At 51.3% G+C, this 25,740-nt stretch overlaps 1 protein-coding gene across 55 annotated transcripts in view, besides 4 other annotated features; it reads left to right on the forward strand.

Annotated features, from left to right (window-relative positions):
- The window catches only part of TACC2 (transforming acidic coiled-coil containing protein 2), a 265,380-nt gene that overhangs the window by 193,865 nt on the left and 45,775 nt on the right, over nucleotides 1–25,740 (forward strand). For all 55 annotated transcript variants that reach the window (NM_001291877.2, NM_206862.4, NM_001438366.1 and 52 more), the window contains one exon: nucleotides 12,013–12,149. In NM_001291877.2, the coding sequence (NP_001278806.2) occupies nucleotides 12,013–12,149 (137 nt within the window). The remainder of the gene's footprint in view (nucleotides 1–12,012; nucleotides 12,150–25,740) is intronic.
- Nucleotides 9,511–10,266: an enhancer, noted in NCBI's record as "H3K27ac-H3K4me1 hESC enhancer chr10:123952053-123952808 (GRCh37/hg19 assembly coordinates)". NCBI's record gives its function as "activates a minimal SCP1, AML or CMV promoter by ChIP-STARR-seq in naive and primed H9 embryonic stem cells {active_cell/tissue: H9 hESC(naive and primed)}" and the evidence as "EXISTENCE:reporter gene assay evidence [ECO:0000049][PMID:30033119]".
- Nucleotides 12,813–13,475: an enhancer, noted in NCBI's record as "H3K4me1 hESC enhancer chr10:123955355-123956017 (GRCh37/hg19 assembly coordinates)". NCBI's record gives its function as "activates a minimal SCP1, AML or CMV promoter by ChIP-STARR-seq in primed H9 embryonic stem cells {active_cell/tissue: H9 hESC(primed)}" and the evidence as "EXISTENCE:reporter gene assay evidence [ECO:0000049][PMID:30033119]".
- Nucleotides 16,962–17,907: an enhancer, noted in NCBI's record as "H3K4me1 hESC enhancer chr10:123959504-123960449 (GRCh37/hg19 assembly coordinates)". NCBI's record gives its function as "activates a minimal SCP1, AML or CMV promoter by ChIP-STARR-seq in naive and primed H9 embryonic stem cells {active_cell/tissue: H9 hESC(naive and primed)}" and the evidence as "EXISTENCE:reporter gene assay evidence [ECO:0000049][PMID:30033119]".
- Nucleotides 17,908–18,852: an enhancer, noted in NCBI's record as "H3K4me1 hESC enhancer chr10:123960450-123961394 (GRCh37/hg19 assembly coordinates)". NCBI's record gives its function as "activates a minimal SCP1, AML or CMV promoter by ChIP-STARR-seq in primed H9 embryonic stem cells {active_cell/tissue: H9 hESC(primed)}" and the evidence as "EXISTENCE:reporter gene assay evidence [ECO:0000049][PMID:30033119]".

Consider the following 25,740-nt stretch of genomic DNA (forward strand, 5'->3'; position numbering starts at 1 on the left):
ACCCCATCTCTACCAAAAATACAAAAAGTTAGATGGGCGTGGTGGCACGTGCCTGTAATCCCAGCTAGTCGGGTGGCTGAGGGATGAGAATCACTTGAACCTGGGAGGCAGAGGTTGCAGTGAGCCAAGATTGCGCCACTGCACTCCAGCCTGGGTAACAGAGTGAGACTCTGTCTCAAAAAAAACAAAAAAACAAACAAAAAAAACAACAGGGGGTGGGGGCTTAGGAGCCAGGATTCTAAGGCCATACCTGCTCCTGCTCTGAATCCTGTGGCCTCCTGTTTGCAAGAGTCCACCCTGAGATTAGTCATCCTCTCAGTCTCCCGTTGGCTCTATGATGGTGTTGCCCTTTGCCCAGGATGTGAGTAATGAGAGTAACAGAATTCAGGGTTGACCTGACTTTCCTGCAGAGGTCTGGGAAGACCTCCATGTGACAGCCTTCCCATGTCACTCCCTGCGGGTTCCAAGAATCTCAGGCCTTTGCAGCTGGGATGGCATGGCATAGACATGTGAGACACCCCCTCCTTGTTTGTATGAGCGAAAGGGCCAAAAGAATAGGGTGGAGGTCCTGGCTGGCTGCCCCCGTGGGCTGCTATGGATCTAGATGCAGAAACTCTGCTGATTCGTTCCCCTGGAGGAGAGGTTGCTCTGGGAAACTGCAGCTGCCAAACCTACTGGAGACTGATTTGCAAATAAGGACTCCAGCCTGTTCACATACAGGAGCCTCCGTGAGTGGGGAGGGCAGTTGGGTCAGGCTGAGGCTCAGAAGACACGTATGCCTGTCTTGGCTCTGCCCTTGCCCCTGAGTGGTTCTGAGCTCTCAGGCAAGATGCTGAACCGCTTGGCTCCAAGTTCTCATCCTCAGAACCCAGGAGGACTTGAGCATCTTGAGAGTGGGAGCTTATCTGTCTGGTTCACCAGCCCAGGTGCCCGCAGGTGATGGGGAATAAATAGGTCCTTCTGAAACCGTGAATAGTCAGGGAATGATACCCATGTGCCTCTCCTGTTGTAAGGATCAGTCATGAGGAAGCTCTGAGGGACGGTAACATGTCAGCTGAGGTGAGCGGCCGTGGGGTTATTCCCATTCCTGACACTTCGCAGCCCCTGGCTGAGGCACCCCCATCCTGGTCCTTGGGTACCTGCCTGAGAAACCACACTTGGAATCGGAAGGACACTTGGTGAGTGTGGAACATCAGCCTCCGATGCAGAATGGATGTGTCTTGCTGGCTGGGGGAGCACTTGGAGGGGGTCCCCGAGGCACCCCTGATAATACAGCCTGGGGGTGGGGGGGTGCCCTGGTGGGTGTGTCTTCCCTGGCCAGTGCAGAGGGGGACAGCTACATTTTTGTCACTCCTCTGTTTCTTCCAAACTCCTTGTTGGCTCCTTCCCTTAATCCATGTTGCCCTGGACAAAATCCAGCTAACCGGATCCCAGCTGGGTTCCGTGTATTGTATCCAGGACCTGGATGAGATTTGGAAGAACTTGCTGAGCACATCTGGGGAGACCCCTGCGTCCCCAGCAGTGTGGCTGAGCTCTGCCTTGTTGGGGCCTGCATCCTCCCTTGTACGAAGGCAACCTTGTTGCTGGTACCCGTGTTTAAATATCTTTTTCTGACTTACATAAACAGCACCTATGTGTTGCTTTTATGTGTGTGTGTCTGTACATAGACATCTGTGTACGTGAATATACATATGTATTTAGGTATCTTTGTGTAAGTTTATATATAATTATCTGAAATAAGCTCATATTATATACACATTTCTTAATTTGCTGGGTTTTTTTTCCTACTTATCACCTAACTGGGAGTTATCCTGATTGTACATGCAATCCCACTCACCTTCGTTAACAGCCATTATGTTACTGAGGGGTGATAGCGATGGGGGGTCTGTCCCCTGCCAGGTGCTTGGGGAAGCTCTAGTGGTTGGCCAGAGCTGACTGCTCTTTGATTTCTTGCATCTTCTTTATGGTTTTTCCGTCTCCTCTGTCACTTATTCTTTTTTTTTTTTTTTTTTTTTTTTAGTAGAGCTGGGATCTCATCATGTGGCTCAGGCTGATCTGGAACTCCTGGGCTCAAGCAATCCTCCTGCCTCGGCCTCCCAAAGTGCCGGGATTACAGGAGTGAGCCACTGTGCCTGGCCTATCACATACTCTTTTCTTTCTTTTTTTTTTTTTTTGAGATGGAGTTTTGAGTTTTGCTCTTGTTGTCCAGGCTAGAGTGCAATGGCGCGATCTTGGCTCACTACAACCTCCGCCTCCTGGGTTCATTCAGGTGATTCCCCTGCCTCAGCCTCCTGAGTAGCTGGGATTACAGGCACATGCCACCATGCCCAGCTACTTTTTGTATTTTTAGTAGAGATGGGGTTTCTCCATGTTGGCCAGGCTGGTCTCGAACTCCTGACCTCTAGCGGTCCACCCGCCTCAGCCTCCCAAAGTCCTGGGATTGCAGGCATGAGCCACCGCACCTGGCCATACTCTTTATCAGTGCTATCTATGTGCCTGCCTCCAACATTACCCTGCCCCTTCTCATTTAATTTGGATTCTGAAACCAGATACCAAACCTATTAGACTAGACTGTAAGAGAAGGCTAAGTGTGTTTTTTCAGAGAAGACCAGGTGGAGCTTTTTATTGAGTAATGTGCAGGATCCTTTAGTGCAAGCTCTGTGTCACATGACTTGGTTGAACAGAAATGTTTGTGTTTTCTGGGGTCCTGGTTGTGTTTCAGATGGGTAAGGGGGTACTGGTTTGCTTGTTAAGTGGCTTGTGAATAGGTAGGATGTTACTGTAATTCTCCTCTCTAGAGAAAATACAAGGACTTTAATGACAACTTGTTGAAAGCTCCTTCTGTGTCTTTTTGAATTCAGTTTTATATTCTTTTCTTATTAGTATTCATAAGTAACTCATTTTCCTTTCTTCCTTTTTTGAGGTGGAATTTCGCTCTTGTTGCCCAGGCCGGAGTGCAGTGGTGTGATCTCGGCTCACCTCAACCTCCACCTCCTGGGCAAGCTATTCTCCCGCCTCAGCCTCCCGAGTAGCTGGGATTACAGGTGCCCACCAGTACGCCTGGCTAATTTTTGTATTTTTAGTAGAGACAGGGTTTTGTCATGTTGGCCTGGCTGGTCTCAAACTCCTGACTTCAGGTGATCCACCCGCCTTGGCCTCCCAAAGTGCTGGGATTACAGGTGTGAGCCACCACGCCTGGCCAAGTAACTCAGTTTCTATTATATTTTTTAAGAATCTCACTTTAGTGGTCAGGCCCAGTAGCTCATGCCTATAATCCCAGCATTTTGGGAGACCGAGGCAGGAGGGTCGTTTGAGACCAGCAGGGTGTAGTGGCACACAGCTGTGGTCCCAGCTTACTCGGGAGGCTGAGGCAGGAGGATCTCGTGAGCCCAAGAGTTTGAGGTTACAGTGAGCTGTGACTGTGCCACCGTACTCCAGTCTAGGTGACGAGCAAGACTCAGTCTCTGGGGGGATAAAATGAGTTTATTTATTTATTTATTTTTTGAAACAGAGTCTTGCTCTGTCACCCAGGCTGGAGTGCAGTGGCATGATCTCTGCTCACTGCAACCTCTGCCTCTGGGTTTAAGTAATTCTCCTGCCTCAGCCTCCTGAGTAGCTGGAATTACAGGTGCCCGCCACCATACCTGGCTAATTTTTATATTTTTAGTAGAGATGGGGTTTCACCATGTTGGCCAGGCTGGCCTCGAACTCCTGGCCTCAAGTGATCTGCCCACCGTGGCCTCCCAAAGTCCTGGGATTGCAGGCATGTGACACCGCCCCCGGCCAAACCTGAGTTTTAAGATTCCAATTTAAGTTAATCAAGGAGTTTAGCTACAAAGAGATTTTGGGGAGATCTGTGTGCGAAGGCAAGGAAACCAAAAGGGTGGTCCGAGGCTCTTTTTTCTTTATTTCTCCTGACACTTGATTCAGTCTGGCCTTTCTCCAGGAAGGCGTAGCAGGATCTAGTTACAAATCGGTGAAATCATGAGCCCAGGGTGTGGGGGCCGGCTTAGTGTCACTCTGCGCTTCCTGCAGTGGGCCCTCAGCCACTAGAAAGTCACTTCTCTTTTGCGAGGAACCTGGTATTGTCACAAATAAGCCAATTTCAAAACTAAGTATGTTTGTGTTGGGGAGTGAGGAGTGAGTTTCAGCAGACACATGTATGCACACCCACATGGGCACAGTGCCACACTGAGCCCCCTTCATTCTGGAAGCAGTCCCTTGGCCCTGGACCTGGTTGTGTGCCCCTTGAGGGGAGGATGAAGTTGACCTCAGCACTACCCGGAGCTCGCCCTTTCTTCGGTACACTCTGGTGTCCACAGGTGGCCTGGCTTAGCACCAGCCACAGTTTGTTCCTGGCCTCCAGGGTCTCTTTCCTGTCCAGCTCAGCAGCTTTGACCAAGTAAAATAGAGGACTTGGTCTGCTTGCTAGCAGAATTACATTTCCCCAAATTTCTTTTCTTTCTTTCTTTTTTTTTTCTGAGACAGAGTCTCGCTCTGTCGCCCAGACTGGAGTGCAGTGGTGTGACCTTGGCTCACTGCAATCTCTGCCTCCCAGGTTCAAGTGATTCTCATGCCTCAGCCCCGTGAGTAGCTGGAATTACAGGCGCCTGCCACCACGCCCAGCTAATTTTTGTAGTTTTAGTAGAGACAGGGTTTCTCCACCTTGGCCAGGCTGGTCTGGAACTCCTGATCTCAGGTAATTCGTCCCACCTCGGGCTTCCAAAGTGCTGGGATTATAGGTGTGAGCCGCGGTGCCCAGCCCTTATTTCCCCAAATTTCTAATGCTTGGAGGCCAAGGGCAGATCAGAGCTGCAATAATAATGGGGAGGCATTATCCTTATGGTCATTAATATCCCCATTTATGTGACAGTCCCAGGGCCTGGGAGGTCAGGTGTCTTGCCTAAGGTCATGTGCTTGTCAAGGGGAGCTGGGAGGCATCCTGTAGTAGACTATGGTTGTTTGTGGACTGCTTGCCCTCCCTTCCACATCCTGCCTGCCTTTTGGGGAAGTCTGTCTCCCCATTCTGTTGAGTCTCAGCAGGTTGCTCCTTTGTTAAGGTTCCCTACCCTCTTCCAGCCAAGAGACCCAAGAGGAGCCAAGTAGATACTCCCTCCCTGGAAGTTAAACCGTGAGCTGAGATCCAGAAAATGGTTGGAGGACTGAAGTGCCCTCATTTCTGTCTCTTCAGATGTGGTTCCTTAGCCTCCTTGGGTTTTCAGTAAATCCCATTCTTGCTTTAGTTTATTTATTTATTTATTTATTTTTTTGAGATAGAGTCTCGCCCTATCATCCAGGCTGGAGTGCAGTGGTGTGATCTTGGCTCACTACAACCTCTGCCTCCCGGGTTCAAACAATTCTCTTGCCTCGGCCTCCCAAGTAGCTGGGACTACAGGCATGCGCCACCACGCCTGGCTAATCTTTGTATTTTTCTTTTTTTTTAGTAGAGATGGGTTTCACCATATTGGCCAGGCTGGTCTTGAACTCCTGACCTCAGGTCATCTGCCTGCCTTGGCCTCCCAAAGTGCTGGGATTACAGGCATGAGCCACGGTGCCTGACCATGCTTTAGTTTAAATTCAGAATTGGGTTCCTGTTTCTTGCAACTGTATTCAATTAACACCTGGCCATAACCCAGGCATGGGACTCCTCAATCTGCAGTGCTCTTTCCACTTGGTCATGCTGCTGCTATAACCTAGCGATGGTCAGGACGGCGATGGCCAGCGCCCCGGGAACCCCAGTAACATCACAACATAGCCACGAAGTGATAGCTACTTGATTCTGAAAATAGGACCTGCTGGGAATCTCGGGGTAAATGTGTTGTCATCTGCTTTGATTTTTCGCGAGGCAGCCGTAGGTGTCAGCCTGGAAAATTCTAGCAGCCTGGCTTGCCAGAGCTAGCTTGGTGTTTGTTCATGGAAGGCAGTACCTGGCTGGCTGCTTCTCAGTCACCTGACCGTCCAAGATGGGTCTTGGCATTTGCTTGTGTTGAAATCATGTTCTTATTTAGCTAAATATTGATACAACAGAGCAATTCCTTTTGTATATGCAGGATGGATGAATTGAAGTGAAAGATCAGTTTGTCAGCCCTTAAAAAAAATGACCGGTCTGATCATACTGTTTTATGCCAGCGAGGTGTGTGTGTGTGCAGAGATTGGGGAGGGGAAAGCTTTTATTGGCAAGACTATCTGAAGGTCTCATTCAGCGGAATATTTTGTTGAATAGAATCTAGCATGCGCAGTTTCAAAAATATCCATTTACTCACAGAGTCCTCAAACCCTTACACAAGATGAAGAGATGAATGAGACTGTCTGATCTGTCGCCGAGGGCTCAGTTTTGTTTCTGGAAGGTCTCCCTCTCTCTTCAGGGATGGCAGCTGCTCTTTCAGCCTGGACAATGCTGGCTGGCTTTCCCCGACCAGGGCTTTTGTCCAGAGCTGTTGCTTTTACCTGGGCTTGGTCTTCAAGGGAAAAAGAGGTGGGAGGAGGAGGGGAGCTCAGAAGAAGGAAGCCCCTGTCTTTGGCCTGCACTGTGTTCTTTCACTCTGAGGAGTGGTCCCAAGACCCTCCCTCCAGTTCCCAGATCACTTTCATGTTGGGAGCTGCAAAGTGGAATTCTAAGGAATTGACCTGGATTCGAATATGGAAGTATCCTCTTCCCCTTAAGCAATGCTCAAGAAGGAATTGTTTCTTGATAATCAGGTAACATTCAAATGTTATATAAACTTTAGATTTCCAGGATGAGTGTTGTATTTAGAGCAAAGGCTCTTGTTTGGAGGCAGTGCTCCATGAAGGTAGGCCTGGTTCTATGGAATTTCCAGCTCTAGCTGTCATGAATGGGCTGGTTACCTTGGGCGAGCCACTTTAGCTCTCTGGGCTTTAGCTGGGATAAGTGTGTTGGAATAGGATATGATCTCTAAATTTTCTTCCAACTTCCAAGATTTTATGGCCTTTGCAATTTATTATTTCAAGCCCTTAAATTATCTCCAGTAAAACTTGAGCAAATGTAACCATTTAATGATATACTGGGAACCATATCTATAGTACCTCTTTATTACAAGATGCTTATGTTTTAGTTAGAGATATACTCACATGTTCACATATGGGTGTATATATGTGTGTATGTGTATATTATGTATGTGTGTGGATGCTGATCTTAAACTATTTTGTTGTCGTAGTTCATAGAAGTAAAAACCTGAAAATATTTAAACCAGATCACAAATACAGGGAAATAGGCTCTTAGGGTCTGCATTTTCCAGCTACCTGACTCTTGCTTTGGGGCCAATTTCCACGCCCTTCTTTCACACGGTGTGTCAGCTGTGGAGGTGTTTAATTCAGCATTGTGTGGAGCAGAGCTTTTCCGACTGTGCTCTGTGGGACTCTAGAGACCAAGAAAGTACTTGAAAAAACGTTTTTAAGCCGAACTAGTACACAGTCGAGGAGCTCGGCAGGGTCCTGTTTTCGTGGCCAGCACAGTCTGTCCCCACCTGGGGTTACGTTGTTCCCTCTTTCCTGCTTGGTTGTACACACCGCACTGTGTGCTATTGGATACCATTAGCACATTGATTGCCTGGTACGGATAGATTAATTCGGTTGGTACAGCTGGTTGACCCTCCTGCCCTGTCTGCCTTATTAAAAATTATTGCATGAACACAGGACAGGCCGTTAAAAATCAGGGGCTGTTTGTGATGACTCATGGGTGCATCTCAGGACTCTTCCCAGTGATGTGCAGCGGGGGGAGAAACCAACGGGCATCCGGCTACCTCATGTCTCCAGCCCCCAGTGTCAGGTTTTTGAGTTCCTCCAAACAACTTAATTGCTCTCGATGATGGACCTTATACAAGCATATTGTAAATTGCTATTACATTACATATCGTAAAATGCTATTACAAGCATATTGTAAATTGAGCTTGCTGAAAATGTTTGGAAGCCACAGATGTAGCGAAAAGGGCACAGATTTTAGAGACAGGCAGTTCTGGATTTGAGACTTAGCTTCCATCATTTAGTAACCATACGGCCTCTGGCAAAGGAATTTGCACCTCTAATGCCTAATTGTCTCATCTGTAAAATGGGCCTGCTGTCTGGCAGCCAGGACCCTTTTTTTTTTTTAAGAGTCGAGGTCTCGCTCTGTCATTCAGTCTGGAGTATAGTTGTGCGATCATAGCTTGCTGCAGTCTCAAACTCCTGGACGAAGCGATCCTCCTGAGTCTGCCTCCACGTAGCTGGGATTACAAGTGTGCACCACGATACCTGGCTAGGCAGGACGTTTCTGAAGACCTTAGATGTGTGTACAGTGGGCCTACTCCTGTGCCCGACACATAACAGTATATTCAACAAATGCTGGTAATTATCATGCTTTTCATGCTGAGAATTAAAGTGTTACAAGCCAGGGGTGTCCAATCTTTTGGCTTCCCTGGGCCACATTGGAACAAGAAGAATTGTCTTGGGCCACACATAAAATACACTAACACTAATGATAGCTGATGAGCTGGAAAAAAAAAATCACAACAAAATCTCATAGTGTTTTAAGAAAATTTACGAATTTATGTTGGGCCGCATTCAAAGCTGTCCTGGGCCGCATGCAGCCCATAGGCCGTGGGTTGGACAAGGTTGGTTTACACTATAGAAATATAGATATTTTATTGCATTTGCATATTTACTTCTGTGGTGGACATAGCATATGCATAGTCTGATAAATATATTTGCCTATAATTTAGAGATATTTCAGCAGATTGTAATGACAACATTTCTCTTTCTGCTACATTTTTGTAGCAAATTAAATTAATTTTCTTTTCTTTCATTTTTAAAATGTGTGGAGCCTTAACAGAATAATTTCTTGTACTTTGGGTTTTTTCTAGTAGGAAAAGAAATATCAAACAGCCGGTGGGAATTGTGCTTATACACTGGGCCTCCAAAGTGCTGCTTTATTTTTATGTACAGACTCGTTGGGGGTGGACTGCCGAAATCCTTGCTCTTAGAAATGTATTTGAGCCCCTGGGAAACTGGATAGGGAAAAAAGAGCTAATTAAAAAAGCTGCCATCCACCTCCTCTAATTAACTTGCTGTCTGCTCCCAAGAGAGGGTTCAGAAATATGAAAACAAGACAGGCAGCACCGGAAGTGAATGCCATTCTCGTGGTCTGTGGTGGTCCCTGGTGTTTTGATGCAGAGATCGTTCATAGTAAACAGGCAAGGGACCACAAAGAGGCTTGGTGTGCCCTGGCCCACCCCATGCTCTGCCTTCCACACAGGGCGATCGTGAACGGCGGTCCCTCTGAGCAGGTGCACAGGCTGGGCAGTTGCTGCAGCGGAGAACTCATTGGAATTCAGGGGCTAGAACCGAGGGGCATCCGGCCCTCCCTGTTGCTTGCTTGTGCTGTTGAGAAAGAGCAGAGCCCTTTGTGCTTCAGAGCCTGCTGTCGCCAGTGCCCAGGAATGCAGAAGCCAGGGGATGGACGAGTACTCAGGCTTTCCTCGAATCTCTGCTTGAGTGGGGCAGCCTCGGGGCCTCCGGACGCTGGAGAAGCTCACAGCATCTGTGGCCGGTGGTGCAGCTAACTTTTTTGGTGACATTGAAAGAGATTTAGGTCCAAGAGATACGAGCAGGGGAATTAGGGGTGGGAATTTGGGGGACAGAGGCTGTTCTTCAGCGGAAATGGCCTATGCCTCCTGGCAGAGGTGGTCCCCAGTGGAATGGGCCCGGTGGATGTGGACAGCGGTGACCAGCAGTGGGGACTCCAGTCTGCTGGTGCTTCAGGGAGACTCTGGAAAAAGGCAAGTTATCTCTGTGTATCTTGTCAGTGTTGCTCATGATGGTGCAGTGCTGGGGGCCTGGTGAGGAAGCTGGGTTCCCGGGGCAGCACCCGGGGCAGCACCCAGGGCTCGCCAGGCTGATCTGAACTCTCATTCTTCTTTGCTCCTCAGTTGTGTGACCTCCTTTTGTTTTCCACACCGATAAACAGATGCTTCAGGTACCTCGATCTGTTGTTGTGCAAGTGCGGATCTTTCCTTCTCCCCATAGACAAAAGCTAAGCCCTTTGATATTAATGAGTGTTTGTAAGAAGTCAGTATCTTCTGTTGGGTTTGCATGAATTATTTCCTCATGAAATTTAATAGTAGACTAGGTTTGGCTCATTGGATCCCATCAAAAGCAGCTATGATGTTTCTTTTAAACCCTTTGGTTCCCTGGAGGCTTTGTGGCTGGTTGGAGGAGCCAAGGTCCTTGGGGGGTGGAGGGGCAAGGGTGCTGATGAAGTAAGTCACTGACAAACTAGTTGTAAAAGCATTGATACAGATTTTCTGAAGGGAACTCACCAAATAGCTCTTTCTTCAGGTCCCAGTGGATAGTGGAGGGATTGGTTTGGTTCCTGGTGCTCTCTGCCAGCTGGCTGGTGGTCTTTAGAAGATGGTGGCCTCTACTGGGGTCCCTGGTTCTTTGATCTTTTTGGAAGCTCAGCAACGTGAGCATCTCTCAGCATTGGGTTGCACGGCTCGGTGACACCGGTGCAGCTTGGTGCACACACTGTCCGTACTCACCTGCCAGGTCACCCCGATTTCATGTCTTCACCAGATTTGCTTGCTGGGATCATTCGTGCCATTCAGCCACTCTAAGTTTCCATTCTCTTAATAATTAGCCCCCTCGTTGCAAATGAATAAATCAGTATTTCAGTCTGTTTAACCCTTCCAAAATGGGACTCAGCCCAACTGCGACTGCTGCTGCCAGGCTAGCTGTTCTCCAAGGCAAGGCTGGGCTCAGGACCGTGGGCCCTTGGGCATCTTGAGCATAGGTGGAGCTGGCTTAGTACTGGGGGAAGCCTTATTCTTTCTGGCTTAAAATTGAGTCACCGGTGGAAGCAGGGTGATGGGGAGGGCTGTCTGTTGGTTCTTCGTTTTCTTCTTTTTATTTTTTTAAGAGACAGGGTCTTGCTCTATCACCTAGGCTGGGATGCACTGGCACAGTCATAGCTCACTGCAGCCTCAAACTTCTGGGCTTAAGTGATCCTCCTGCCTCACCCTCCCTAGTAGCTGAGACCATAGGCACATGCCACCAAGCCTGGGTAATTTTTTATTTTTATCTTTTTATAGAAATAGGGCCTCACTGTGTTGCCCAGGCTGGTCTCAAATGCCTGACATCAAGCGATCCTCCCACCTGAGTCTCCCAAAGCGCTGGGATTAGAGGCATGAGCCACCGCACCTGGCCTGTTGGTTCCTCTTCAACCCAGGCCAAGGCTTGGCCAGTGGCCTCTCCTTGTTAGTGGGCAGAGTTTCTCCACATGGATTTTTGGTCCAGTTCTCTGGGTGAAGAGTCTTCCTTGAGAACAGACTTTCCTGCAGACCAGCGAGGGCCATTTTCACTGTGTCGGGGTTGGTGGCCGTGCTTTGTGTCTTGGTCTGATGCACCCTCTGCCTGGCCGGCTTGCTGGCTTCCTTCGTTCACTCCATTCACCCACTCAACACATGTTCATTCCCGGCCCTCCACTGTAGGCTTGGAGATACTGTGATAAACAAGGCCGGCTGCCCTCCTGTGTTTTGAGCTCCGTAGAAGAGAAAGACAGTAAACACTACTAGAATAAGTCTATACTCACAAGTTATGAGAGGCGCTGAGAAGGCAGGACAGTAGAGAGGATGATGGGGTGGGATCATGTGGGTGAGTTGGCACAATGGCATCGAACATGCAGAATGCCTCTCTCTCTCTATTTGAATCAATACCTAATAATGAACGCGTGCGGAAGTTCATCCAGAGTCCGCTGTGTGTGTATTTGCCACTAAGGCGAGAAGCGTGTATTTCCAGTAGAGCCGAGTTCAAAGAATACATCATTTGTGTGCAATCAGAGCCAGTGATAAGATTCAACCTTAGGAATCACGACTGAGAAAATGACTTTCCTCTCATCTGTCCCTGCACAGTTTAACTGAGCAGCGAGCCAGAACCCACTGGCTCTGGGTGCGAAGGCCACACCGGCTCAGCAGAACTGGCTCTGGGCCCCTGTCTAACCTGTGCTTCTCCCTCTCTCATCAGGAGTTCCGATTCTGAAGAGGCATTTGAGACCCCGGAGTCAACGACCCCTGTCAAAGCTCCGCCAGCTCCACCCCCACCACCCCCCGAAGTCATCCCAGAACCCGAGGTCAGCACACAGCCACCCCCGGAAGAACCAGGTAACCAAGGGCAGGGAGGCCCCCAGACAGCCCTGTAGAGTTGTGAGCCCTGGGGGAGATTTGCAGCAGTTCCTCCTGGGTCAGGCTGGAGGCGAGCACTGACTCGACCTCTTGGCTTTGAGTTGTGCTTGACGTGGCTTTTGTAGTTTTCTTGAAAATGAAGGGTGAACAGATACACTGGATTATTTTGCATTTGCTTTGCAGAATTTTAGGGGGGGCCTCTGGGGAGATTGGGTTTGGAGGAGGGCAGTGGGTCTCGGAAGTTCACAGCACAGTCTTGGATTCCAGCACTTGGCCCCTTGCTCTTTTAAGAACATTAGCTGTGGACAGGCCTGTGAATCTACATGTGTATTTCCAGCACTAGGCTTGGGGAAGGAAGGTAGTCAGTGGGCGGGGATAGAGAGGTAGACATTCACAGCAGATCATGGTGGTTTGTTTATTCCTCATGAATCTCGTGTCACCTGATTTCATATCACTTTCCCACAACTTTCTCCCTTAGTGTGAGTGAAAACACCTTTATGTTCCTTTTAGACGGGTGGTTAGTGGACAGGTGGAATAGATCTCGTCCCCACCCCACCCCTGTGGGGCATGCATTCTGCGCCTCCCAGTTACACCAGCACAGAGAACCACCTCTCACATGGAAGATTCACAGGAGACTGGAAGAGATAGGGCCTGCCAGAAATGGTCCCACAGGCTGGCCAGGGGGCCCAGGTGGTATTGTCCTTGGGCCTGGACAGCTCTGGGCCCCACAACTTACAGGACCCCACTTTGGCCTTCCTTGGCCCACAGCCTTCCCGTGTGATGAGAAGTCTGCAGGGCCAAACCCCTTCTAGACCACACGCTGGATACCTGGGAGCGGCCACTGCCAGGGGCCCCCTCGTCCCCTTCTCTGGCTCTTCCTCCCGAGGGCAAACTGTACCTGAGAAGGAACCAAGGATGGGGCTGGGTGCCTCCACTGTGTACTTGCCCTGGCCAGGAGCCAGGTAAACTGAACAATACAATAACATTTTGACCTTGATGTTGGTTTTAGAAAGAAATGGGTGGAATTCTTTTTATCCGCCGTGGGTTCGAGCAGCCCGTTGTTTTGGAAAGGATGTACACTCCCGGAGCTTTGTTCCTAAACCAGCAAACCCCCGTGCTGGGACAAGGGGGCAGGACAGTTTTAATGAGAGCTGATGCCTTTGGTGGAGTCTGCCGAATACTGCTCCCATGTCCCCCGTCTTTGACGGCTCATCAGTCTGCAGCAGTGTCTGGATTTTGCTGAGTCAGTGTAGATGCCAGACTCTGGGAGGATAGTGACGGATATTTCTTTGATTTGAAAGTAGAGAAGAGCCAGGAGGGCTGTCTGTAGTTCTCAGAGCATCGTTTGCATCTCTTCCTTTATTTTGTATGACCAAGCATATAAAACTGTATTTCTCGTAATATTTTTAAAAACTTACCCATAATTTTTAATGGAAAGTGGCTGGATGACAAACACATTGTAATCTCTAGGTCAAATGTGTGATTAAGAATAAACTATTCTGGCCGAGGCGGGCAGATCATGAGGTCAGGAGATGGAGACCATCCTGGCCAATACGGTGAAACCCCATCTCCGTTAAAAATACAAAAAATTAGCTGGGCGTGGTGGCGGGCACCTGTAGTCCCAGCTACTCGGGAGGCTGAGGCAGGAGAATGGTGTGAACCCAGGAGGCGGAGTTTGCAGTGAGCGGAGATCACACCACTGCACTCCAGCCTGGGTGACAGAGCGAGTCCGTCTCAAAAAAAAAAAAAAAAAACAAAAAAACAAAGAATAAACTATGCTTGGCCGGGCATGGTGGCTCACGCCTGTAATCCCAGCACTCTGGGAGGCCAAGGAGGGTGGATCACCTGAGGTCGGGAGTTCGAGACCAGCCTGCCCAACATAGTGAAACCCCGTCTCTACTAAAAATACAGAAATTAGCCAGGCATGGTGCCGCACGCCTGTAGTCCCAGCTACTCAGGAGGCTGAGGCAGGAGAATCGCTTGAACCCGGGAGGTGGAGGTTGCAGTGAGCCGAGACCATGCCACTGCACTCCAGCCTGGGTGACAGAACCGGACTCTGTCTCAAAATAAACAAACAAACAAATGTTTAGAAGAAAATGATAGCATGTTATAGGGCATGTACCATCCCCAGCACCAAGGAGTGTGCGGAGAGGCCACTTGTGGCCACAGGTGCGTCTTCTGGGATTCCCAGTCCGACATCCTGCCAGCTCTGGGATGAATGGGATGCCACTCTGTTCTCTTCTTTGATCCTGTCCTTCTTCCTTCTGCCTAACTTCCTTTCAACAAAGCAGAGAACAATCTCCATTCTTAAAACGAACACGCACAACATCCATCTTTTTCTTAGATGGCAGTTACTAAAAGAATGAGCATTATTGAGGATTAAAAGATAACCCCCACCAGGGAAGGGGATGGAAACGTTAATTGCTGTGGAGTCACAGCCCCTCAGAACCTTGGATTACACCAATTGGAGTGTTTGAACGGGGACTTTATGTTTCTCCTCCTTTGAAAACGGCAGCAAGGCTAGCTGTGTGAGGATTGTACACTCAGGAGACTTACGGTTGGAACTGTGTCTGCTGAAAGCCCCCCTAGCTTGGGCTGTACAAAGATCCATTTGATTTGCTGCCCTGGTTAGAAAACCGCCTCCCAGGCGGAGGGTCCCCTCGTCCATTCTGTAGACCAGCATGGGGCATTACGAAGGCGTGGGAAGGCAGCTGTGCTTGCTAGTGTAGGTGGCTGTAGGAGAAGAAAGATTTGTTCTCTCAACCATAGGAAAGAAGGGTACCAGGGGAAAATCTATTGTTTACTTTCCTCTGCACAGTGCCCGGGATGTTGCGAAAGGTGCTGTGGGAACCACGTGAATTAATACACAACACCTTTGGCTGTGAATAAAGATGGTTTTTCCCCCTGGCAACCTACATTTTATAAAGCACTCACTTGCCCTACATTGGGTCCTACCAGCGTGTCTGGGCTCCCTGGGATGGAAGATGTGTGGGCCAGAGCAGTCCCATGAGCCTGTCCTGAGGGCTGTAGCCTGGACCACACTCCTGAGGCAGAAGATGGGGCAAAGGATTGCACCTGCTGCCAGCTGGGGCGGGCCAGGACTCAGCTCATCTGAACGCAGTTCCCTTATCTGTGAAATGAAGAGGGTGATCTGTGGGTCCCTTCAGATCCTTCCAGCTCCGGCCTCCCGAGGTCCTGTGAAGGGAATGGTTGGCTGATGTACAGTGACCGTGTTATTAGAACTCAAAACCGGCCACCAAGGGTCATAATTACATGTCATGTAATTAAATAATAGCTCCCATTCAAGCATTTGCCTTGTCAGGGCTATGCTAGGTCCTCTGAGTGTTTCATCTCCCACTCAGGTGAGGGAGGATCAGCCGTATGCACACAGCATCCCTGTATAGTGGATGTCTTCCCCTGATTCCCCAGTGACACGCGGAGGTTACGAACCTCATACGCCATCTCACAGCGATAAGGGGACTCTGGTGTCAGAACCCAGGCCTCCCCACTTCCAAGCCCGGCTCCCTTCCATTTGGAACCAGACTGCTCTCTGCGCAGGTACAGTGAGCTGGTGCCTTTGTGCGCCTAGCCTGGGGCAGGCCCTTAGTAGGTGTTGAGTGAAAGTTGTTGCTGGACCTGCTGTTGCTTAGATGTGTGCTGGGGCAGTCCTGCCAGCCTGTCCTGAGAGCTGCAGCCTAGGCCACGCCCCCGAGGCAAAGGATGGGGCAAAGGATTGCGAGTCAGTGGGTGATCAGTGGGGGCGACATGGCAGGAGAGCTGAGGCAGGTCCATTCTGACAGTTGCCCACCTGCCCTTCAGGGACATTGTTCAGCATTGGGGAATGCAGCTTCTTTACTCATTCTTGCTAGGAGATTGCCAAGCCCAGGGAAAGGCCCGTGTTGGGGCCTTGGAGGTAATGGGGGCCTCCCTGTGCCCTGCGTGCCTATACCTTTCCTCTGTCTCCCAGGACATGGTCCCCAGGCACTGATTGTGGCACTGCACCTGGGGGCCCGAGCCATTGAGCCAAGGGTATACAGATTCACAGCCACCAGATCCAAGCACCAGTGTCCTCGCCAGGCACTCGTTGTGCTCTAAGTGGCTGTTTGTGGACAGCTGTCCTCACATTGACTTGGAATGGAGCTCAGTGCCCAGCCTGGCTGCAGAGCACACAGTGGCTTCCCTTTTCTTTGGGCCCGCCTCTGGTTTTCGTATACACTGTCACCTGCTTTTGTCTCCAAAGAGGCCATACGTGGGTGCTCCCTGTAGCCACGGGAGACTTCCTGGCATGGGGTGGGGCATCCCAGAATCCAGCTGAGGCCCTTCCCAGCCTGGGGCAGGGGCACAGGGGTGGGTGTCACCATGGCGTGTGAAGAGCAGGGGGCTGTGGTTGCCTTTTCCTGACACCTGCTATGACCTGGGCCAGGTGCTTACAGACTCTCCCTCTTCACCCACACAAGAATTCCCTATGACAGCTGATGACAGCACACTGTCTTAGGTCTGATCACACGGCTATCAACGTAACCATAGACCAGGTACCTGTTAGCAACAGAAATGTATTGCTTACAGTTCTGGAGGCTGGGAAGTCCAAGCTCAGGGCACTGGCAGATTTGGTGTCTAGTGAGGACCTGCTTTCTGTTCATAGACAGCACCTCCTCCCTGTGTCCTGACATGGTGAAAGGACACACAGTCTTCCTCAGTCCTCTTTCGTAAGGGCACTAATCCACTCATGAGGACACTGCCCCCATGAGCTCATCACCTCCCAAAGGCCCCACCTCCTGATACCATCACCTTATATGAGGATTTCAACATAGGAATTTCGGGGACACACACATTCGGACCAGAGCACACAGCAAGCTGAGGGCCGAGCCTTTTCAGGCCTGGATCTGGCTGCCACAGGCACTCGGGCCCTCTTGGGCCGGCTGCTCCCTCTTCACAATGTGAGTGTTTCATGGGCCCAGGACCAGGGAACAGGTGAGACCACTGGAGATTCTGATGCAGTCCAGGCAGAGGCTGGCACTGCACCTGGGGGCCCTGGCCATCGAGCCAGGGGTATATGGGTTCACAGCCACCAGATCCAAGCCCCGTTCATCCCAGGCTGGAAGGACGATGGAGAGTTTGGGGCCTGCATAGAGCCAGGTGAGGAGACATGAGAGGATGGCGACCTCACCTGCCCACAGTGGCCACATCTACAGTGAGAGGACGGGCACCTCACCTGCCCACAGTGGCTGTGTTCACATGGGGAGGACAGTTACCTCACCTGCCCACAGTGGCCACATCTACAGTGAGAGGACGGGCACCTCACCTGCCCACAGTGGCTGTGTTCACATGGGGAGGACAGTTACCTCACCTGCCCACAGTGGCTGCGTTCACATGGGGAGGACGGCCACCTCACCTGCCCACAGTGGCCACATCTACAGTGAGAGGACGGCCACCTCACCTGCCCACAGTGGCCACATTTACAGTGAGAGGATGGCCACCTCACCTGCCCACAGTGGCCATGTTCACATGGGGAGGACGGCGACCTCACCTGCCCACAGTGGCCGTGTTCACATGGGGAGGACGGCCACCTCACCTGCCCACAGTGGCCATGTTCACATGGGGAGGACGGCGACCTCACCTGCCCACAGTGGCCACATCTACACTGAGAGGATGGCGACCTCACCTGCCCACAGTGGCCACATCTACACTGAGAGGACGACCACCTCACCTGCGCACAGTGGCTGTGTTCACACGGGGAGGACAGCGACCTCACCCGCCCACAGTGGCCACATCTACAGTGAGAGGACGGCCACCTCACCCGCCCAGAGTGGCCACATCTACAGTGAGAGGACGGCCACCTCACCCGCCCACAGTGGCCACATCTACAGTGAGAGGACGGCCACCTCACCTGCCCACAGTGGCCACATCTACAGTGAGAGGACGGCCACCTCACCTGCCCACAGTGGCCACATCTACAGTCAGAGGACGGCCACCTCACCTGCCCACAGTGGCCACATCTACAGTGAGAGGATGGCCACCTCACCCGCCCACAGTGGCCACATCTACAGTGAGAGGACGGCCACCTCACCTGCCCACAGTGGCTGCGTTCACATGGGGAAAACGGCCACCTCACCTGCCCACAGTGGCTGCGTTCACATGGGGAAGACAGCCACCTCACCTGCCCACAGTGGCTGCATTCACATGGGGAGGACGGCCACCTCACCTGCCCACAGTGGCCACATCTACACTGAGAAGACAGTGACCTCATCTCCCCAGGGTGGCCACATCTACACTGAAAGGATGGCGACGTCACCTGCCCACAGTGGCTGTGTTCATATGGGGAGGACGGTGACCTCATGTGTCCTGTGCACCTTGGATGGAGACACCACCAACCTGGCAGGGCCCCAACCCTCTGGACGCACATTCACTTCCCGTAATGACCTCGCTGGAGGGGCTTGACTGCTCTCCACATCCACACAGGCACAGTGGGCCATGGATGGATCCTGGGATGCTCGGGGCTCTCACAGACCCCAGGCTGGTGGCTCAGCCCATTATCCTCCCGGGAAGACAGGGGTATAACCAAGCACCGCAGGTGTTGTCCTGTTACAGATGACATTTGATAATAATAATAGAAAAATAGTAACATTGTGGGGGGTGGTACTAGAGACAGTGACAGCGAGGCACAGCAAGGTTAAGGAGCTTTGGCCAAGGTCACCAAGCCGATTAGTGGCAAAGCCAAGGTTTCCGCTGCTTTTTATGACTCTGCGCTCTTTGAAACTGACCTCTTTTGAATCTGACATTATGTTAGTGGTCTGTCTTCATGCTGTCTTCTTTAGCTTTTTTTTTTTTTTTTTTTTAATTCATAATCAGTGTTTTTATTATTTTCGATGATGGCTCATTTCTAAGTTAAGTGATGTATACTGTCTACATTTCCCATCTATAAGCTTTTGTTTTTCCTGGACTTTTGTTACCTAATTTTGATTTGCTTAGGTTATTATTTTTTTAATCTATGGCATGTCTTCCTATCGCTATGTACAATGGCTTTCAGTAGAACTTTTTACATCTTCAAACTCATCAGATAACTGTGTTTTAATATCTTTTTCTGAGGACATTCCTCCCAAATCCCTCTGTTCTGCTCCACTTGGGGCTGATAGGTCCTTTTCTGTTTTGAGACAGGGTCTCACTCTGTTGCCCAGGCTTCAGTGTAGTGGCACGACCTTGGCTCACCGCAGCCTTGACCTCTGGGCTCAAGAGGTCCTCTGATTGTTCTTTATTCTTGTTGCACAGCTGTTGTTTGGGGACTTCCCTTTGCCATCATCCTGGGATTTCCCTTTACCTCCTTCCTGTGTGATCTCCGGTTTCCTAAAATCCCTGTCTTCCTCTCTGTTAGGTTATTCCCTGTTTTGGTCAGTACATCATCCAAGAGTTTCCTGACAAAAGAGATGGGAAGGTAATTTGTTTCTCCAGAAGTAGATTTTTCTTTCTTTCTTTTTTTTTTTTTAATTGATCATTCTTGGGTGTTTCTCGGAGAGGGGGATTTGGCAGGGTCACAGGACAATAGTGGAGGGAAGGTCAGCAGATAAACAAGTGAACAAAGGTCTCCGGTTTTCCTAGGCAGAGGACCCTGCGGCCTTCCGCAGTGTTTGTGTCCCTGGGTACTTGAGATTAGGGAGTGGTGATGACTCTTAAGGAGCATGCTGCCTTCAAGCATCTGTTTAACAAAGCACATCTTGCACCGCCCTTAATCCATTCAACCCTGAGTGGATACAGCACATGTTTCAGAGAGCACAGGGTTGGGGGTAAGGTCACAGATCAACAGGATCCCAAGGCAGAAGAATTTTTCTTAGTACAGAACAAAATGAAAAGTCTCCCATGTCTACCTCTTTCTACACAGACATGGCAACCATCCGATTTCTCAATCTTTTCCCCACCTTTCCCCTCTTTCTATTCTACAAAACCGCCATTGTCATCATGGCCCGTTCTCAACGAGCTGCTGGGTACACCTCCCAGACGGGGTGGTGGCCGGGCAGAGGGGCTCCTCATTTCCCAGTAGGGGCGGCCGGGCAGAGGCACCCCTCACCTCCCGGACGGGGCGGCTGGCCGGGCAGAGGGGCTCCTCACTTCCCAGTAGGGGCGGCCGGGCAGAGGCGCCCCTCACTTCCCGGATGGGGCGGCTGGCCGGGCAGGGGGCTGACCCCCCCACCTCCCTCCCGGACGGGGCGGCTGGCTGGGCGGGCGGCTGACCCCCCCACCTCCCTCCCGGACGAGGTGGCTGCCGGGTGGAGACGCTCCTCACTTCCCAGACGGGGCGGCTGCCGGGCGGAGGGGCTCCTCACTTCTCAGACGGGGCGGCCGGGCAGAGACGCTCCTCACATCCCGGATGGGGCGGCAGGGCAGAGGTGCTCCCCACATCTCAGAAGATGGGCGGCCGGGCAGAGACGCTCCTCACTTCCCAGATGGGATGGCGGCCGGGAAGAGACGCTCCTCACTTTCCAGACTGGGCAGCCAGGCAGAGGGGCTCCTCACATCCCAGTCGATGGGCGGCCAGGCAGAGACGCTCCTCACTTCCCAGACGGGGTGGCGGCCGGGCAGAGGCTGCAATCTCTGCACTTTGGGAGGCCAAGGCAGGCTGCTGGGAGGTGGAGGTTGTAGCGAGCCGAGATCACGCCACTGCACTCCAGCCTTGGCACCATTGAGCACTGAGTGAACGAGACTCCGTCTGCAATCCCGGCACCTCGGGAGGCCGAGGCTGGCGGATCACTCGCGGTTAGGGGCTGGAGACCAGCCCGGCCAACACAGCGAAACCCTGTCTCCACCAAAAAAATACGAAAACCAGTCAGGTGTGGCGGCGCGCGCCTGCAATCCCAGGCACTCGGCAGGCTGAGGCAGGAGAATCAGGCAGGGAGGTTGCAGTGAGCCGAGGTGGCAGCAGTACAGTCCAGCTTCGGCTCGGCATCAGAGGGAGACCTTGGAAAGAGAGGGAGAGGGAGACCGTGGGGAGAGGGAGAGGGGGAGGGGGAGGGGGAGGGGTAGATTTTTCTAACTGCCTTCTTTAGCTTTTAAAGAAAGCACTTTTCCAGAGCGTCTCATTTCATGCCTGCTTATAAAGGATGAGGAGTGGCCCCAGGTCACAGCCGGTGTTATTTCCCCCATTGCCCTCTCCCTCTGCCTTCAAATGAGCAGTTAAGTCAGTAACCGGCTGAGCCCTTGTGCTGATGCTGGGGCTCTGCCTGGGGGACTGTGGCCCCTTGGTCGGCAGCCCACCAGGGAAGCACCCCAGCAGGACAACAGGTGGGGATGTGGCAAGGAAAGCTGCTCATCTCTGGCTGACACCAGAGAAGTGACAGTCAGCAAAGCAGGACAGAGAGGGACATGTGGGCCGGGTACGGTGGCCCATGCCTGTCATCTCAGCACTTTGGGAGGCTGAGGTGGGAGGATCGCTGGAGCCCAGGAGTTTGAGACCAGCCTGGGCAGCATAGCAAGACTGCATCTCTACAAAAAATTTAAAAACTAGCCAGGTGTGGTGTCACGAGTTTGGCTAGCCACTTAGGAGGGTGAAGCCAGAGGATCACTTGGAGTTCAAGGTTGCAATGAGCTATGATAACGCCACTGCACTGCAGCCTGGGTGACAGAGTGAGACCCTGGCTCTTCAAAAAAAAAAAAAATGACGTGTGGCATGCTCTAGGTGGAGCCAGGATCAGCCCAGGGCTGCTGAAGTCCCAGCTGTCTGAACCGCCCGCACAGCACAGTGGGGCTGTCACTCCAACAGTGCTCCTGGGTGCCTTCTTACTTCTTACCCTACCTAGCAAAGCCTCCCCTTAGGTGCTCCCCATCCTCACTATGGCTCTGTCACTTAGATGCTCACGAGGCGGACTCTGCTGGGAACAATTTGGTTTATGTAAAGACACTTTAATTTCTTCATCACTAAGTGAGTTAGCACGGTCAGTAACTGTCCCCACAGTGCCTCGACGGCACTTTTCCCTCTTGGTTTCTGGGAATTGAACAGAAGTTTGAGAGCAGACATACGAGAGCAAGATAGACCTCAGGAAGCAGAGGAGCACAGCCCCACCCGGTGGGGGTTCCTGGGGTCTCTGTGAGATCCTGAACACCCACTGGTCTGAGGACAGAAGGCAGCCATGGCACGGGCCTCCTGCTCTCTTGCTGGTCGGTTTTGGGTTTGGTTTCTTGAGCTGTCTGTTTTGGACCACATCAGAGGAGGGTGGGCACCAAAGGACAGCCTCTGCCTGGTACTTCTGCAGCACTGATGCCTCACGCCTCTGGGGTAAAAACCCCACAGGAACTTGGAGCTCAAAGGCCCATCCAAGCTTATCCTCAAAGCTGACTCATTTTTGTGGCCAAATACTAAAGTGTTACCCACTGGAGGTTTAAGAATGAGGATAGGCCCAGATAGAAGCAGATGAGGTGAGATAGCCCAGTTCCAGACTTCCCGATGAGGAGGCGCACCTGTGGCACCTGTTACGATGGGGGCCCTGAGCCCCCACCCCAGCCCTGCAGAAGGAAGTGCTGCTCTGCAGAGGAAGGGGCGGATGGAGGCGGAGTCTGGGGTTTTAATGAGTGTCTCAGGTGTGTCTTAGGCTAGACAAATTTGGGAAATGTTGAATTCATCACGGACTTGCTCTGAGCTACCCACAGCAACCAGCAAACTGCCACAGAAAGACCAAGTACTGCTTTGTATCTCGTTAGCCTACTTAAAATGGACACCTTTTCCCAGAATAAATATTACTAACTGAAGATTACTATTTGTGTACTTAGAAGATACAAAGCCATGCTCTCTGTGTAGGAGACCATCTACCCGTGATGCGGCAGCTTAAGAGAAGAGTCTGTGAATGCCTGGGCACACCTCTGGCCCTCTGGGCGCCAAGGATTCCTGTGCACAGTGAACTCACTGGGGGGCGGGGGGAAAGAGGGGAGGATGGAGAGGCGCCAGTGCGGGGGCTGGCAGCAAGTGCTTCTGTGAGAAACAGTCCAGCAAGGCTAAGGGTGTGGCCTTTGGAGAAGGTAGGGTGACATCAGCTGGGTGATGTCTGCTGCCCTGTCCTGGCTTTGTCTCTTTCCTGGGAGCCCCCTGTCATCTCTAACACATTCGCTTTCCCTCAACTTGGGCATTTTACTGGGCAGCACTGGTGCTATGGCCTGAATTGTGGCCTCCAATGTTTGTATGCTGAAGCCCCAACCCCCAATGTGATTATTTGTAGGGAGGACCTTTAAGGAGACAGTTAAGGTTGAATGGGTTCATACGGGTGGGGCCCTAAGCCCATGGGGACCAGTGTTCCTATACGAAGAGGAAGAGACCAGGAGTGTGCAGAGAAAAGGCCATCTGCAAACCAAGGAGAGCGGCCTCAGGAGAGACAAACCCACTGATGCCTTGACCTTGGACTTGCAGCCTCCAGCACTGTGAGAAATAAATTTCTGTGGTTTAAACCGCCCAGTCTGTGGTCCTTGGTGATGGCAGCCCAGCAAGCTCATGTAACTGGGATACCCTAGTGACCCTTTTCATCTGATGAACTGCGGGTGCTGACTTTGTCATCAGACTGAGCCAGAAACCTGGAGCCTGTGTGCAAGGCACTGTTCTCTGGGGCATTGCCCAGATCTGTGTCAGTGGAGACATGAGGTGGAGGAAGTGTTGTGTATGTATTCATCTGGGTTCCTATCCTTCCTTACCTCTATGTCCTCGGCACACCCCCCAGTGGCTGATGTATGGGAGGCACCCCAGGTTATTTGTGGAATGAACAAATGAATCACACAGTTGATTGTGTCTGCATTGGTCTTCATGCAGATATGCCGTGTGGATGTTTAGAAATCCAGTAGGGGAGCAGGGAGGCTGGGTGTGGTGGCTCACACCTGTAATCTCAACACTTTGGGAGGCTGAGGCAGACGGATCACTTGAGGTCAGGAGTTCAAGACCAACCTGGCCAACATAATGAAACCCCATCTCTACTAAAAATAGAAAAATTAGCCAGGCGTGGTGGCACACACCTGTAATCCCAGCTACTCGGGAGGCTCAGACAAGAGAATCACTTCAACCTGAGAGGTGGAGGTTGTAGTGAGCTGAGATCGCACCACTGCACTCCAGCCTGGGTGATGGAATGGGACTATTTCAAAAAAAAAAAAATGCAGTAGGCGAGCAGGGAGGACTTCGAACCCAGTTGGACCACAGGAGCCCTTCTAGCCCTGTGAGGGGCCCCGTGGAGCAGCCTGCTCTGGTAACCAACACAATAAGACAGCCGTTCCCAACCAGGGAGGATTTTGCCCCCACAAGGGTACATGGCAATGTCTAGACACAGTGTTGGTTGTCACAGCTGGGGTAAGGGTGGGGCCTACTGGCATCCATTGTGTGGAGGCCAGGGATGCTGGTAAGCATCCTACAGGGCACAGGACAGCCCCCAGCATAAAAATCTGACTGCCCCCAAATGACCATAATGCCAAGGATAAGAAACCCTGCAGCAAGATTAGGTTTCCTGGTTCATGATGAGCTAATGAGAGCATGTCAGTTCTAAAGAGGAAAGCCATGCTAAGCAGGCAGGGAGCTCTTTCTTCTGGAGGAAGCAATGAGCAGATGGTTAAGCTCATTGTTGCGTGATAACTGCTGACATTTGAAGGGCCTCCGAAGGCTTCCTTCTGCAGGCTGCAGAGGCACGTGTAACGGCCTGAGAGGGAGAGGGTTGGTGTTTGTGGGCCTTGACGACGGGATAGGCTGAGGCTCGTGCTTCCTCCTGCCAAGGCCCATTTGAAAGCACCTGGTCCCCCTCAGCATCCCCTGGTCCTCTGTTCCCTCCGTGTATCCAGGGGCAATTACAGAGCAGGAAGAGGAGGTCACGGCTGGTGGGAGGATGGGGTACTTGAGAGTACTAGGGCCTAGAGGAAACAGGGAGTTGATTTTAGAAAGAAGCGAGGCAACACCTTTTGAAATGAGAAGGAAGGAGTGTTTGGAGAAACCGTTTGGTAGAAAGAGCTCCGTATTTAGGGCGTCTGCTCCAGGTAGGCCCTGGGTGGAGAAGAGGAGAGTGAGAGGCTTGAAACCAGGACTAGCTCATAGATGTGCTTCCAAATGATGCTTTCAATCCAAGCGTTTATTGATCCTGTAAGAAAGTGTGACCAGTCAAGGGGGAAACAAAGCCAAGGCCAGTTCCTGAACTCAAGAACCTTGAAGTTTTCTTGTGTTGTGAGCTGAGTTCTCTGCCAGGTACTCCAGGAGAAAGGTTGCTATGAGCAAAGCTTGGTAAGCACTCTGCAGAATACTCACTGCCCAGAGATTTGCAGTCGGGAGCATGAATTGCTCTGAGAAAATCGACAGGAAGAGACCAGTTCAGGGGTTAATTGTGCATTTCCCAAACCTTGTTTGTTTGTTGGGATGAGAGATAGGGCTCCCTGATTTAGCAAATGAAAATACAGGGTGCCCATTAAATCTGAATCTTAGATAAACAAAGAATCATCGAGACATGGGACATACTTATATTAAAAAACATGTTCATTTATCTGAAATTCAAATCAGCTGAACATCCTGTCCTTTGTCTGGCAACCATGCCGGTGGCAGAAGGGGACTGGGGGTACATAACACCTGTCACGAGGC

This window comes from Homo sapiens, chromosome 10 (genome assembly GCF_000001405.40).
Source record: "Homo sapiens chromosome 10, GRCh38.p14 Primary Assembly".
In the NCBI taxonomy this organism is placed as follows: domain Eukaryota; kingdom Metazoa; phylum Chordata; class Mammalia; order Primates; family Hominidae; genus Homo; species Homo sapiens.